This window comes from Homo sapiens, chromosome 1, assembly GCF_000001405.40.
Source record: "Homo sapiens chromosome 1, GRCh38.p14 Primary Assembly".
NCBI lineage: Eukaryota > Metazoa > Chordata > Mammalia > Primates > Hominidae > Homo > Homo sapiens.
Window position 1 is genome coordinate 31,657,315 of NC_000001.11, and position 13,915 is coordinate 31,671,229.

Below are 13,915 nucleotides of genomic sequence, written 5' to 3' on the forward strand. Positions count from 1 at the left end.
GACCGTGCCTGCCTTGCTGTGTGCTTGGATCCTGGCACCTTGCACACTCCCTGGCTCTGAATCTATGTTAAACGTTTGCTGAATGAACACATGAACAGCCTGAGCCGGCCCCCTCCCTGAGACCAGCAAGGCAGCCTCTCTTCTGGTGGCTGCTGGGGAAGAGGACTCTGATTGCTAGGCAAGTGGGAGATTCATCCAGGGGCCATGGAGGCTCCTGAGCCTGCAAGGAGGGAGGCAGGGTCCTTGGCAGGAATCAGAGCGAATAGGCGTGGTGAGACTGGGCCCGCCTGGCAGATGGGCTGACTGGAGTCAAACACCCCAGCCCAGGCCACCAGCCCCACGGTCACTGCTGCTGCCCCCCAGAAAAAGTCTGCGTTGATGGAAAGCATCCTGATGGGTCCCAGGAGACCTGGGTCCCTGCCTCTGCTCTCCCAGGAGACTTTTCATCCCTGACCCTGGCAATCAGTTGCACCTGTTAGGGTTCACCTGTCTGGAACTTTTGAGAGAGGTAGATTTGCAGAGTGGCTAAGGACATGAGTTCTGGAATCAGGCAGGCTGGGATCAAGTCAGAGCTCTTCCACTCACTAGCTATGTGACTCCGAGCAACCTGCCTAACCTTGCGGAGCCCCCGTTTCCTCATCTGTAAAATGGGGACAATCAGATCCACTAAATGGGGCTGCGGCACAGATTAAGATAAAATGCACAGCAAGCACTTAGTCCACCATTCGGCACACATCGGTGACCGATATATCAGCGCTCTTAGTGTTAAACGTGAGCTGAGACCAAGTCCTGGTTTCCGAGGACCTCAGGAAGTTACAGTAACAGCACTGCATTTCTGGTTCCTGACATTTAGCAAGATTTTCTGTGGTTACTGACAAGCTCCCCTGGGGAAGGGGAAGAGGCAGAACAGGGACACGTAGCCAAGGGGTCTGCAGAAGGTTGATGCTGAGGCACCGTCATGGGCAGTGACCTCATGTGCAGCCTGGCACAGCACTGCAGGGCCTATCCTTCCAAATTCAGCATGATCCTCAGGCCCGAACGCCACGCTGCCATCCTGCCATGCTGACAGCCTCTCCTTCCTTAGAGACCCCAGATATGTTGTGCTGTGCTCAACAGGCCTTGAGCCAATTGACTCTTTCCCCCTGGGCTATGCTGTAGAATGTGGGATCTTACTGGGGGGCCAGGGTGTCCAGGGGGGCCGGGCTGGCCTGGGAGGCCTGCAAGGCCCCTTTCTCCGGTGGCTCCTCGGTCTCCTTTCAGACCCTAGAGAATAGGAAGGGGGACAGTGAGAGGGGAGGAAAGCAGGCAAAGTGGACTCCCATATAGCCAGAGACAGACACCCCATCGTGTGCCAGGGACTACAGGGAGAGGTGGCACTGCCTGAACTTGCAGCAGGACTCTGAGATGACCTCCAGCCCTCTCCAAAGCCCTCTGCCACATCCTGGAAGGCGAGATCTTTGGAGGCAGGAGAGGCTGACACCAGGGAAGGAGGGGATGAGACAAACTGTTCTCCATCCCCCCAGCTTCCTCTGAATGGAGCCCACAGTCAAGCAGGGCAAAACTCCTGGGAGGGAGGAAGGAGTGGAGCATGTTACTCACCACTGCAGAGATCCCAGCTGGTCCTGGCTGGCCTGGAGGCCCTGGTGGCCCCTAAAGAGAGATGAGTCAGTGGGATAGAAACAGGTTCTAATAGTAAGACCCCTGGGAGGCACAGGGCCTGACAGCAGAAACAAGCTCTAAACTTCAGCAGCTCCATTTCCTCTGGAAACCTTCCTTCGCTCTGGTCTTGCACTTGAGCTTCGGACAAGATTTGCGCCCAGAGCTGAGGCCTGGGGGTCCTGGGCACACAGGACCCTCCCTCCAACCCAGGCTGAGTGGAGCATCTGGGGCTGTGCTGAGGGGGATGATCTGAAAGCCGTGGCCAGAGGCCAAGTGCAGAGGACAAAGGCCTGGGGGAGTTACTCCCTGGCCTAGGTGGCTACTGAGACCCTTGCTTCCCTAAAGGCAGTCTACTTCCTGCTGTTCTATGGAGGAGGGAAGACCAGAAGCTGGGGGTCCGTGTAGCAGGGGGTGAGGGGCAGGGGCTTGGCACTGACCCCGACATCCATAGTGACAAGGAGCTAACACTTGCTGGCCAACACTGGAGCGCACGGGACTCCAACACCCAGACAGTCCCTGCTGCTGCACTAGGGCTGCGTCTGAAATGCCCTTCCCTAGCTCTGATGCCTACATCCATGCCTCTGTGGTGCAAAAGATCACCTCCCTGATCAGAGTGACACCTTCTCTGAACCCCCGGGGCACTTGGGTCTCTCTTATAGTGCTTCCCTCAACACCCCCAGGTGGCACGTTCCAGAGCCATAGCCTCTGTTCTATTCATCTCCAGTCTCCTGGGGTGGAAGTGTCCAGCACAGAGACTGCCACACTGCAAGACGAAGGGGCTGGACACACGGAAGAGAGAGGCGGAACCCTGCACCCCCTCAACCTCAGCCCTACTGAGTCTCCAATGGGGCCACGCTTCTGAGTGCACCTCCCCGTGTCATCTGTAATGTGAGGGGGAACCAGGCTTGATATGGCATTCCCAATCCAGGGCCTCTGGACCCCTTGAGATGCATAAAAATAGTGATGGGGGCCTGAGAGTTCTTTTTTTTTTTTTTTTTTTTTGGTCATGAACTATTTTTAACATTTCCGAAAGCCTCCTGGAAATTATTATGCAGCCAGCCACAACAGGGCTGCAACAAAATGCCAGTATCTTCGCTTTTCTCTGGAGTCCCATCAGCTCAGTGCCGTCACACTGATCAAAGGCACTGCCTGGCAGTCATCTATGTTAGTGATGAGTAAAGTAGACAGGAAATTCATTGTTGCTTGATAAATGTCCTCTCCAAGTCACCCCATCTTGGGAAACACACCACCTATTTACCCAGTTGCCCAAGTCAAATGCAGGAGTCACCCCTGGTTCTTCTCTTTCTGTCACTCTGTCTCCCCAACCCCAATCCAGCTCATCAGCAAGTCCCCCAAGCCTGGCATGGCACAGGGGCTCCACAATTATTTGTTGACTGAATGACCTCCATCTGATAAGTGAACTTGAATGTGCCCAGAAAATAAGAAAATAACGAAAAGCCTGGAAACCACAGAAGGAGTGGCCCCCGTGCTCCCACGGCTGGGGCAGCCCCTATGGCAAGTTCTCTCAGGTCATGACAGCCTATGCACCACCAACCACCCCGCCAAAATGCTAACTCTTATGGAGACAGAGACAAAAGTGGTTCAACTCACAACGTGTCCCGGGGGACCGGGTCTTCCCTGGGGTCCCATGGCACCAGGTTCACCCTGCAGGAGCCAGAAAAAGGAAAAAATGACACTGAAACTGACTTGCTTGCACCATGTGGCTGTCGGATGGGAGGGGGCTGGGCAGAATACATGGTAATGCCAATGGCCAAAGGAGCTGGGCCAATTCCCAGCCTCCAGACCCAAGTTTCCCGGAGAGTTAGGTAGAGAAGGCGGATCCTCAGCCTGAGCAGGCCAGGCCCTGCCTTTTTAGGTTGGTGACCCAGTAACCTCCAGGGAGCAGAACCAGTTACAACCCTTAATAGGAGGGAGAAAGTTCAAGACGTGCAGTGTTGGGTGACACCCCTCCCAGAAGGCTGAGGACAGAAAGCAGCCACTTTGCCAGTGAGCAGGAAGAAGCGGCTGCATCCCAGACTCTGCAGAGTCTGAAGGCAAACTGAAGGCAGCCATGTGGATCCCTGGCCCTCACCTCTGCGCCAGGCCGGCCAGTGCTGCCAGGGGGACCTGGTTTGCCACAGTCACCCTAGAAGAGAGAGGAGCAGCTGGAGCTTACCAGACCTTCACTTGACATCCCTACCCCAAGTCAACCTCACATCAGAGGGACCCTGCCACCTGCCCCAGCTTTGGCCAGAGGCCCTCTGATGCCCTCCAGCTGGTAGACAGAGAAGCCCTGACCCAGTCTGCCAGGCACCAGTGGCCCCAGGAGGCTCTGATGCTGGGATGGCCTCTCTGCCCAGGATAGGCTGCCATGTATGCCTGGGGGCAAGCCTTCAGGAGAGCAGAGATAACCTGCTTGGCAGAGGTCACCAGCCCTTACCTTAGGTCCTGGGAGGCCAGGATGTCCTGTTTTCCCCTTAAAGCCCTGAAAGAAAAAGCAGGGAGTTCTCATGTCCCTCATGTCAGCTGGGGGCCTCTTCCCACTCCTCCTTCCTCAGTTCAAACAATTCAAACCAATCCAAAGTCATAACACGGTCCACGGAGGATCTGGATTTGAGCTGTTGCAGCCACCCAGGCAGAAGCTGCAACTTCGCAGCTTCCAACTCCTTCCTGCAGCTCAACTTACCGGTGGTCCCATGAGTCCAGGGGGGCCAGCAGGACCAGGGTCCCCCTAGGGAAAGAGACGAGGAGGATTGAGACAAGAGTTTTGCCCAGCTTGTATCCAACTCATACCTCTGTCCTCCCCTCTCTCCAGCCCTCCCCAGCTATCCTAAGATGGAGGGAAGAATCCAAGCCTGGCTCAGCCTCTGACTGGCTGTGGATCCTCAGTGACTTCCAGCCCCTCTCCGGGCCTTAGCTTTCCTTCTTTGGGATATATAAGGGGGTTGACTTTGATGTTCTACCCTGTCCTGTGGCCCCAGCCCTTTCAGATTCCCCAGCAAAACCCCAGGAGCCAGGGCTTGCTCAAGTCCTTCCATGTCCACACCCTCATTCTTCCTGAAGCCCAGCCTGGTTTCCTCAGCTGTCTTGAGTTTCTGCATACATCATGCCTTCACCATCCTGCCTTTGGTGAGACCTAGCTCGCCTAACCTGCTTAAGGCCACTAGGAGAACTGGGAAGCCAAGGGGCTGTGGTGCCATCGGGGAGCTGGGGTAGAGGGAGACAGACCGAGGGAGGGCATGGGTGCCCCCTGACAAAGACGGGGATACTTCGGTTCTTTCCATCAGGGTTCCCTTGACTTTGGCTCCTCTGGCAAAAAGGAGAGGAAGGGGTGCCCGCCCTCCCAGCCCATCATCTCACCCTCAAGCCAGGCTTGCCGTCCTTCCCATCCAAACCATCCAGACCGGCGGGGCCCTGGAAACAGGAAAGAGGCATTTCTACATGCTGGTGCGGGAGCCCTAGGAGGTGGGAGGCCTGGCCCAACCCCTCAATTCTCTCCACCCCTCCCCTGACTCCCACCTCAGCACACACACACAGGTGCACACACACACATGCACCACACACATGCGCATGCATCGCACACGTCTGCCACGCTGAAAGGGCACACACTCACCTGAATCCCAGGAGGTCCCGGTGGCCCAGGGGAGCCAGGCAGGCCTGATGGGCCTCGAATCCCTTCGCTGCCCTGGAAACCAGCGCCGCCCCCCCCCCCCGCCCCACAATAAAGTCAGCAGGGCTTTGCCCCACCCATGGAGACCAGGCCCTGGGTCAAGGGTCCTGGTGACTGCTGGAAACAGGACAGCTGGCTTCTGGGCCCAATCTGTCCCTGTCTAACTGCATATGTGCCACACGTCGCCTCCCCAGGAGGATCTGTCTTCATCTGCAAAGCATCCCCTTTCCTTGCTGCCCCATGAGGAAGGGACAGGGCATCTTCTCCAGTGCTGACCCAGGGGCTGGCATGGCAGGGGCTCAGTAGCATGTGCTGAACTGAAAGCACAGCTTCAATCCACTGTGAAAGCTGCCTGTTGTATTCTACTCCATCAGACCCCCTGCCTCCTCCCCACCTACCTCCCTACCTTTCCCCCCATCCCAGCAGACATGGGCCCGGGCTGCACAGAGGCCTCAACAGCGCACGCAGCACCATGTGGGCTCTGATTCCCCAAGATGAAAAAGTGGGTGCCCCTGTCCTCAAGGAGCTCACAGTCCAGTGAGGGTCATGGGCCCAACACAACCAGGGGCAATACAACAGTCTAAGTGTTCTGTGTGGAAAGGGGCTCAGGGAGCTCAGGAGCGGGGAGCAGTTCCCTCTGGCTGGGGATCAGGGAAAGTGTCACAGAAGTGTCACCAGATGCTAGACTCTGAGGATGTCTGGGATTGGGCAGGTGGAGGAGAAAAGTGCATGCCAGAGGGAACCTAAGAGAAGGATAAAGACTTGCAAGTGGGCACATGCCTGGCCTGGCCAGGGCATCTGGGGGAGCCTGTGGGATGGGCTGGCAGGCAGAAGAGGCTGGAAGAGTCACCATGATGAGTGGGGGCCCTGAACGCTGTGCTAAACTTTATCGAACAGTCAGTGGTTTTTAAGCTGTACTTCTCAGAGCACTGGGGCTTCTGGGGGAGCCTAGAAGCTGGGGGCATGAAGTGGGGACTGAAGAGAGGGACTCTAGGACCCCCACCGTTGTCTTAGCCAGGGAATCTCCGCTTGTATTTGTTTTATAGATTGAGGTTTTTACATTTGCTTTTATGTGATAAAAAGACTCTGGGACTACAAAATAAAGTCTGAAAACCCCTGCTACAGGCACTGGGGAGCCATTGAATGTTCAAAGCAGAAGAGTGATGAGAACTGATGCATGGATTGGAATGTTTACCAGAAAAGGCGGGGGGAGGCAAGCAGCATAGCGGGGAAGGTGGCTGCATTCTCCCAGTGTGGAGAGGGTGGCTGCCCTGGATCAGTGGCTGTAGGGTGGTCAAGGGAAGGAATCCCGCTAGAGAGACCCAGCAAAGGGGAAAATGAACTCGGGGGCTCTGTAATGCCACCAGCCACCAGGAGGGGTCAGCAGAGCCCCAACCAATGTTGGCCCCCACTGGCAGTTGGGATGAAGAACCACTGGCCAGAGGTTTGGGATTCTCTGCAATGACCAGCCTAAGGAGAGCAGGGGCTGCCACTCAGGTCCTGGGGAGGGGAAGGAAGGGGAAGGGGAAGGGGAAGGGGAAGGGGAAGGGGAAGGGGGCTAGCAACCACCACTGTCCCAAGCATGGCTGATCAGCATGGGCTCTGGGGAGGTAGTGAGGTGCCCGGGTCCTCCTGGAGCTGGGAAGGAAGTCTCAGCTCTGCTGCTAACACCACTGTGTGCCTCTGGGCTGCCCCAAGCCTTGTGGGTGTCAGTTTCCTCACCTGCACAGTGAGACGTTCATGCGTGTGCTCTCAGGGGAAAGAGGCTCTCCACAAGGCTCAGGGGAAAGAGGCTCCCACCTGTCCCTCTGAACCCAGGTCCCCCGACCCCAAGCTCAGAAGTCAATCTTCGGGCTTCTTACACCACCCACTCAGCACATCTAGGGAGCCCAGAGGTTGGGCCGAGACAGGGATGTCAGCCCCAAGCCAAGGCAGAGCCATGTCTCCAGCATTTATCAAGCCAAAGTCAAGAGCAGCCAGCATAGGAGCTCCGCCAACTGCTGCTCCCCCAACCCTTGTCACCAGGCAGGACACGGGCCACCCCTGCCCTCTCTGGGCCCTTGGGGACAACTGGAGCACGGCTACCCAGGAGGAGCCCATTCCCCTTCCACGTTGGTGTCCTCCTTCAGGACGTGCTTCCCCCTTCTCTCAGCTCCTCGCTCATCCTCCCGCCCAGGAGACGAAGGTGGCCTGGGCTGCCTATCACATTCTACTCCTCCATCAGACCCCCTGCCTCCTCCCCACCTACCTCCCTGCCTTTCCCCCCATCACAGCAGACAAGGGCCTGGGCTGCACAGAGGCCGCAGGCATCCTGGGCCAAGCAGACATCCCGAGGAGCCCACTGGTCCACTGCAAGCCCTGTCGGCCTCCAGTAGTCACTGGGCCCATCCTGGAGGCCTCTTTTCCCAGCCTCAGTGCAACTGGGTCAGTCTTGGAATTTCCTGAAAGCCTGATGCTAGGGGTGGGACAGGGGCATGGGAGCTGCATGGCTCAGATCTGTGACTTTGCCAACCCAGGGTCCTGCTCACCTTCTCTGCTTGAGGGCCAGGTGGGCCAGGTGATCCAACTTTGCCTGGGAATCCAGGGGGACCCTGTATCAACAAAGGGGCAGGCAGGAATGAAAGTGGGGCTGGAGGGGGAGCTCCCCTTCTTTATTCTTCCTGTGCATGATGCACTGTTGTTAATGCAATTCATTTTGACTTCCTAGAAGCACCACTTGGGAGCATTACGTCTGCCTGGCCTGCTGGGCTGGGGCCCACACAAGAGGCTGGGCTCTCCAGGTCCTGGTTCCTGGAATCAGGCCTGGCCACCCAGGCCGTTCTCCCCTGCCTCTCCCCTCTTCTCCCCAGGACCATCCTACCCCAGCCTGGCCTGGTCAGGCCTGCCCCTCCCGATGAGACCACATCAGACAGAGCTGGCTTTGTGTCTTCTTCACTCACCGGTGGGCCCGGAAAGCCTGGCTGGCCTTGAAATCCCTAGGGTGAGAAGCAAGGGGCAGTGTGCTGTGCCACCCCCTCTCTCCTGCCTGGCTGCCCAGGTGGAAAGAGTGACGGGGGGGGCACCCTCAAACCCATGGGCTTTGCCCTCCCCTCTGCCCACCATGGCTGGCAGGTGAGGCTCTGGGCATGAGGTAGGTCACAACCCAAGGACAGGTAGGGTGGGGAGACTAGAGCTGGTGATCACCAGGGACCCAGCTCCTTCCCTGCCTCCCTGCAGCCAGGTCCCAGTCGTCACTCACCTGGTCGCCCTTCTCACCGGAGTTACCTTGGGGTCCTCGCTCTCCTCTGGGACCCTGTCACCCACAGAGAACAATGCAGCCGAAACCTAATCTTCCTGCCCTCAGACCCCAGGACAAGACCAGGACCACATCTCCCCATGCCCTCCTTCACTCACCGCTGGGCCTGGGGGGCCTGGGAGGCCTTCAGATCCTGGGGGGCCCTAAGGATACAAAGGAACAGAATCAGTCACTCCTCCTGGGGAGGTGAAGGATGAGGTAGGGGGATGTGACAGGGGACTGCCCAGAACAGAGGTGGCATGTGCTGGGAGGCCCCTGGGCTGGCAGGCCCCCTCTGCCTGATCTGCTCAGGCTTCCCTGCTCTTGCCCGAGCTACTGAACCAGCCTCCTAACTCGTCCTGCCACCTCCTGGCTCACTGCAAGCCAGCCAGCAAATGGCTGCCCTCTTCTCCTCCAGCATAGCTCTGATTATGTCACTCTCTTGCTCAAACACCTTATGCGGCTCCCTCTGCCTCTGAGTGGGGCGCACACTTTCCACCAACGCTGGTCTTTGAGGCAGCCTGTGATCTGGCACCAGCCACCCCTTCCCACTTCTCCTCCCTCTCTCCTTCTCATCTTCCGCCTTGCTCAGTCAGACTGCTGTTCTCTGACACACTCTATACCCTCACACCCCCAGGCCTTTGCACCCTTAGCACAGCTTTCTCTTCTACCTAGAATGCCCCCTTCCCCCCTTCCTAGGTCCCCTGAACCCTTGCCAAATCATCTGATGGCTGGAAGCTGTTCCTGCAGTGCCCCACCCAGCCTCTCCCTCTGGAATTCCCCAGTACAGACAGCCACAGGGATCCCTCCCTCCTGCTAGTCAGCTCTCAGCTCATATGCCACCTGCTCAGAGAGGCCTTCCTGCCCCTCCGCTTCGATGGTGCCCAAACACCTCTCCAGCCCCTTCCCCTGTCCCATTTCCTCCATGAGTCCCAGTCCTCATCGTTCCTAGGCACTTGTTTATTCATCTGGCAGCTCCCTCCCCCACGGCAGGGCAAGAGGGCAACTGCGCTCTGTTCATGGAGACATCCTCAGAGGGGAGCCTGGCACCCCACAGGCCCCTGAGAAATATCTATTACTGAGTAAATGCCTGATGGAGTTTGCTGAATCCCACTGGGGCCTCACTGAAACTGGTGAATCTGTAAGGCTGCAGTCCCAGTTTGGCTGATCCTAGATCTGAGGTTTGTGAGGTTTGTCACCAGATAGATGTGTGTTCAAGCCCAGGTTCCACCACTACCTCACTCACTAGCTTCAGGAGCCTGGGTGAGTCTCAGCTTTGTCACTCTGGGGGCCCCAGTGTCCTCATCTGGTCACAGCCCAACTCCTGTGCTCAACGTGGGGCCTGGCAGGCCTTGGCTCTGGAGGGTGGCTCTGGGGAGCTGGGGTCCACTGGGGGTCTATAATCCCAGGTCCTCCTTTGTAGGAGGCGGAGGAGTGCTTCTGCGGCTGCCTCCTGGCACCCTCCCCTTGGCAGCCCTGCGGGGATTCTCCTCACAGCCTCCACCTCCACAGCACCCAGCCTGTGCTGCAGGCTTGGGGGCAGGGGGGCAGCAGGGGTCACGATCCTCCCCTTCACAGGCTGCTGCCAAGTCTCCAGCCCGAGACTGTGTGGCTCCACGTGCAGCCCTGCATCCAGCCCCACGCCGCTGGGACTCACCGGCTCTCCTTTCTCTCCCGCTGACCCGGTGTAGCCACGCTCCCCCTTGATGCCCTGACAAGTGGCAAAGAGACAGTGGAATTAGCCCCACAGAATTAGTCCGTCACGGCACTAATGCGAGGAGCGGAGACTGCAGCTGGCACCCAGACTGGCTCTGGGGGAATGGCACTGGGAGGACCGCTGGGTGCTCCAAAGCTGCCGTGCCTCCCATCTGCCACCGTGCCCCCCAAGCCCCCAGTGGAAAGGAGGACACACCCACCCAGCAGCTTCTGTGGGGGTGGCACCTCTAAGCTGTCTCTCCAATCTCCCAAACCCCTCACCCCCAGGAGGCAGATCTCAGTTCTTGCTGTGTCTGGGCCTGGCAGAGTGCTCTGAGAGTCAGGCCTGAGCAGAGTGGTGGGACCAATCCACACTGCCAAGGGGGCCTACAGTGGGGAGAGGGGGCTGCATGGACTTTAGGCAAAGGAGGAGGCTGAAATGCCCGGTAATGGGGAGCCCGCCGAGGGTTGCCCAGCCTGGCTGTGTCCTGACCACCAGCCCAAACCTCTGGTACCTGGCACCCACTCCCCAGCAAGGGTCCCCTTACTCACAGGCAGTCCTGGGGGGCCCGTGGCACCTGGGTAACCTGGTTGCCCTGGAGGACCCTGCAAAGAAAGGCAGACATGATGGATAGCCCCCCAACATTTCTGTTCTCCCCTCGCTGGGTAAGAGGATGGCCAAAGCTAAAACCTCTGGGGCTGCCATCTAGCAGGTGCCAGCCTGCCCCAGCATTGCACACTGGGCCATCTCCCCAAGCCCCAGGTCCCCTCGGTCGTGACCACCACCACAGACCTGGGCTGGGGAGGCGAACCCCAGCCTGGCCCAGACCCTGAGAGCTGAGCCGGAGCAGGGAGCCCAGAGCAGGCATGAGGACCAGGGAAGAGGGGGTGGGCTGGGATGCTGAGTGACAACAGCCGAGGGAGGGAGGGGAGCCCCCAGGGACGCTGCTGGAGGACAGGGGCTGTGCATGCTTCTGGCAGGGAGTCAGGGCACATGGAGATCGGCCTCCTTTGCTCCTGGGGGAGTGTGGAAACCTCACACTGAGGGAATCCCGGCAGAAGGGCAGAGAGTCTCAAGGAGTCCACCTCCCAGCTTCCACTCAGCAGCCACCCTTCAGAGCTCAAGCTCTGCCTCCCCAGCTCTTCCTCCCTTTCCAGCCCTTTCCAGCCCCTGCCAGCTTCTTCTTACCGGCTCCCCCTTGTCTCCAGTCAGGCCCGTGAGACCTCGCTCTCCTTGAAGGCCCTTGGAGAGAAAAATCATGAGAAACTGCAGGAGCCGGCGGTCCCCACCCAGCCCCTGACTCCTTCCCCCTGCCCCACTGCCTTCTGTTCCCACTCCAGGCAAATATGGAGGCCATAGTGGCTCTCGTAGTGTCCCTAGAAGGTGACCCGTAATGGGTGTGCTCCAGCAGGATGACTGGTGGAGGTGTGAACCCCACATATGGGTGCCTCTCAGGAGGATACCCTTCAAGATAGATAACTATAGAGATATGCCCTCCAGCAGAGGTGACTCTGGGAGGGTATCTCTCAGGTGCCCGTCGCTGGTATGCCCTGCCATGGTAACTGACTGGCGTACACCTTTAGGAAGGTGATGGATCAGATGTGTGCTTATTCTGAGGGGCAACTGTCAGGAGAGGTACCCCAGATGGATGCTGCCACCAAAGTGTATCATATCATCAGATACCCAACACTTACCTGTCCAAGTCCCCCACCCCAAGCAAAAATCACTTTCTTGGAGGGAGGCAGGGGAGAGACACAGGAAGGCTGCCTCCAGAGCAGTCCCTGTCACTTTGTAGGGTGAGAGGGCATGTCACTTTCCACGAGAGCTACAGCCCCCACCCCTAATTCCTTACCCCAGCCTTTGCAGGTGCCATGCCATTAAGGGCACCTTTCCTGCCCCCTTCTCCCTCATCCCCTCAAGAGATGACGCCCAAACCTTTCCATGACATAAGACAGATGGCTAGACGGACAGATGGCCCCTTCACCCAAGCAAGCAGAAACAGACAAGGCCCGGCCACAGATGAGGACGTGGGGACAGATGGAACTGTGACGAGGAGGGGCCCTGCTCCCTGAGCCTCCATCACCAGGCCTGGGAGGAGAGGAGCCAGGCCCCAGGAACACAAAACCTGACAAACAGGAGGTTAGTTTCCGTGACCCAGGAGGGAGCAACAATGAGGCTGGGGGTGATGTAAACACACCTGTGACGATGACGAAGGCAGAGCAATTAACGACACCTGGCAGAAGGAGCCGGCCAAGGTGCCGGGCACAGAGGGGCAGGGCCGCACGACACCCAGAAACCCAACTGGCTGATATCACATGCCCCGCCTTGGAGCAGACTGGGACTGGAGCCAAGGAAGAGGAAGCGAAGAGGAGGCAGCTGAGAGTTTCCTCTAGGACGACGGAAAAGGCGCAGGAAGGGCTGCCTTTAAATCCCTGGGTGCCTCTGGACAGCCCTGCCAAGCAGCAGGGCAGCAAACCTGTGCCAGCCTGCAATGTGAAGCCCTAAAGCTTTGGCATCTCTGCTGGGCTCTGAGCCAGGTGCCTGGCAGGGCCCCAAGAACTACTTTCAGCAAATCTTCAGGCAACGCCGAAGGTGGTGAGAAGCAGGAGGCAGAGCGAGAAGGCAGGAATGGAGGGGCCCCCTAGAGGCACCAGCTTAAGAGGAAGGTTCACGAGCTCAGGAGGACTTGGGGGAGTGCTGCAAGATGGTGCGAGAAATGGAGAAGGAAGACAGAACGGGGTAAGAGAGAGAAGAGGAGAGAAAGAACGCAGGAGAGGAGGGAGAGGAGAAAACGGAAAGGAGTCAGAGACTGGGAGGATGTCCAAGCTGCCGGGACCTCAGAGAACCCGTGTCGTTAGCTACCGTGCCTGAAGGGGGACAACAAACACGGAGGACGGAGGTGAAGGCACGACAGGAGGGAGACAAGCAAAAGCCACAGAGACCTGGCTGACGGGGGGGAGGGGAGGTCGAGCAGCGCTAGGTTCTTACAGGCAATCCGGGGGAGCCAACAGCACCAGGAAAACCTGGGGGGCCCTGGTGGGAGAAACAGGCAGGTCACATCTCACAGGCACAGTAACCCTGGGACAGCCTGGAGGGCACAGTCTGGGGCTTGGGGGTCATGGGGAGAGGAGGTCATGGGAGTATTTTCAAGGCAGCTGGAAAAGAGACTCCTTGAAAGTCTTGGCTCAAAAGACAACTGTTCCTCCCCTTGGCTCCAGGAAGAATGGCTCCTCCGTTGACGGAGATGCGGAATGGCTCCAGAGTCAGAGGGCTTCCTGAGTCTTCCGGAGTCTAACTGAAGATCCGGTTGCAGCAGAAGCCCATTTCTTTCAGCCTTGCCCACCATGCCTGCCACCCGACCTCCACCTGTCCCCCGAGTGGGGGGCTCCCTGGCTCTAAGACAGCTCCCACCAGCCATTTTCTTCTCCAGAGAAAGCATTTTCAGTTCTTTCAATCTTTCCTAGTCACTTCTATTTTCCTGCCATGTCAACATCACAGAGGACTCCAGAGTAGATACCCTGGTCTGGTTTTTGTAGATTTACCCTAGAGATGGCCCTACAGAGCAATGGAGGACAGCTCCATCTTAGCCCCGAGCCCTTGTGGGGACTGGAGTCAC

At 58.1% G+C, this 13,915-nt stretch overlaps 1 protein-coding gene and 2 long non-coding RNA genes across 23 annotated transcripts in view, besides 5 other annotated features; 2 read left to right on the forward strand and 1 right to left on the reverse strand.

Moving 5' to 3' along the window:
* The window catches only part of PEF1-AS1 (PEF1 and COL16A1 antisense RNA 1), a 16,034-nt gene extending 13,179 nt beyond the window's left edge, over positions 1 to 2,855 (forward strand). For 2 of the 4 annotated variants that reach the window (NR_184311.1, NR_184313.1), the window contains exon 6: positions 2,340 to 2,855. This is a non-coding gene — a long non-coding RNA (PEF1 and COL16A1 antisense RNA 1). The remainder of the gene's footprint in view (positions 1 to 2,339) is intronic. The other 2 variants (NR_184312.1, NR_184314.1) reach the window with 1 other exon arrangement.
* COL16A1 (collagen type XVI alpha 1 chain) overlaps positions 1 to 13,915 on the reverse strand; it is a 51,755-nt gene that overhangs the window by 5,052 nt on the left and 32,788 nt on the right. For 10 of the 18 annotated variants that reach the window (XM_017000339.2, XM_011540724.2, XM_005270481.2 and 7 more), the window contains 16 exons: positions 13,288 to 13,332; positions 11,488 to 11,541; positions 10,851 to 10,904; positions 10,261 to 10,314; positions 8,723 to 8,767; positions 8,568 to 8,621; positions 8,269 to 8,304; positions 7,858 to 7,920; positions 5,273 to 5,344; positions 5,020 to 5,073; positions 4,346 to 4,390; positions 4,100 to 4,144; positions 3,752 to 3,805; positions 3,271 to 3,324; positions 1,600 to 1,650; positions 1,174 to 1,263 (listed from right to left, as the gene is read on the reverse strand). In XM_017000339.2, the coding sequence (XP_016855828.1) occupies positions 1,174 to 1,263; positions 1,600 to 1,650; positions 3,271 to 3,324; positions 3,752 to 3,805; positions 4,100 to 4,144; positions 4,346 to 4,390; positions 5,020 to 5,073; positions 5,273 to 5,344; positions 7,858 to 7,920; positions 8,269 to 8,304; positions 8,568 to 8,621; positions 8,723 to 8,767; positions 10,261 to 10,314; positions 10,851 to 10,904; positions 11,488 to 11,541; positions 13,288 to 13,332 (870 nt within the window). Of the gene's footprint in view, positions 1 to 1,173; positions 1,264 to 1,599; positions 1,651 to 3,270; positions 3,325 to 3,750; positions 3,806 to 4,099; positions 4,145 to 4,345; positions 4,391 to 5,019; positions 5,074 to 5,272; positions 5,345 to 7,857; positions 7,921 to 8,189; positions 8,305 to 8,567; positions 8,622 to 8,722; positions 8,768 to 10,260; positions 10,315 to 10,850; positions 10,905 to 11,487; positions 11,542 to 13,241; positions 13,333 to 13,915 lie in introns of those variants that run through there. The other 8 variants (XM_047446435.1, XM_047446431.1, XM_047446432.1 and 5 more) reach the window with 3 other exon arrangements.
* Positions 707 to 945: a silencer, noted in NCBI's record as "fragment chr1:32123622-32123860 (GRCh37/hg19 assembly coordinates)". NCBI's record gives its function as "represses an EF-1alpha promoter that drives an FKBP-Casp9 reporter gene in an ReSE screen in HepG2 liver carcinoma cells {active_cell/tissue: HepG2}" and the evidence as "EXISTENCE:reporter gene assay evidence [ECO:0000049][PMID:32094911]".
* Positions 1,376 to 1,877: an enhancer, noted in NCBI's record as "H3K4me1 hESC enhancer chr1:32124291-32124792 (GRCh37/hg19 assembly coordinates)". NCBI's record gives its function as "activates a minimal SCP1, AML or CMV promoter by ChIP-STARR-seq in primed H9 embryonic stem cells {active_cell/tissue: H9 hESC(primed)}" and the evidence as "EXISTENCE:reporter gene assay evidence [ECO:0000049][PMID:30033119]".
* Positions 8,487 to 9,026: an enhancer, noted in NCBI's record as "H3K4me1 hESC enhancer chr1:32131402-32131941 (GRCh37/hg19 assembly coordinates)". NCBI's record gives its function as "activates a minimal SCP1, AML or CMV promoter by ChIP-STARR-seq in primed H9 embryonic stem cells {active_cell/tissue: H9 hESC(primed)}" and the evidence as "EXISTENCE:reporter gene assay evidence [ECO:0000049][PMID:30033119]".
* Positions 9,027 to 9,565: an enhancer, noted in NCBI's record as "H3K4me1 hESC enhancer chr1:32131942-32132480 (GRCh37/hg19 assembly coordinates)". NCBI's record gives its function as "activates a minimal SCP1, AML or CMV promoter by ChIP-STARR-seq in primed H9 embryonic stem cells {active_cell/tissue: H9 hESC(primed)}" and the evidence as "EXISTENCE:reporter gene assay evidence [ECO:0000049][PMID:30033119]".
* Positions 10,106 to 10,643: an enhancer, noted in NCBI's record as "H3K4me1 hESC enhancer chr1:32133021-32133558 (GRCh37/hg19 assembly coordinates)". NCBI's record gives its function as "activates a minimal SCP1, AML or CMV promoter by ChIP-STARR-seq in primed H9 embryonic stem cells {active_cell/tissue: H9 hESC(primed)}" and the evidence as "EXISTENCE:reporter gene assay evidence [ECO:0000049][PMID:30033119]".
* On the forward strand, positions 12,490 to 13,753 carry LOC101929444 (uncharacterized). The gene is made up of 2 exons (XR_001737631.2): positions 12,490 to 13,038; positions 13,518 to 13,753. It is a non-coding gene; the product is annotated as an uncharacterized LOC101929444 (long non-coding RNA).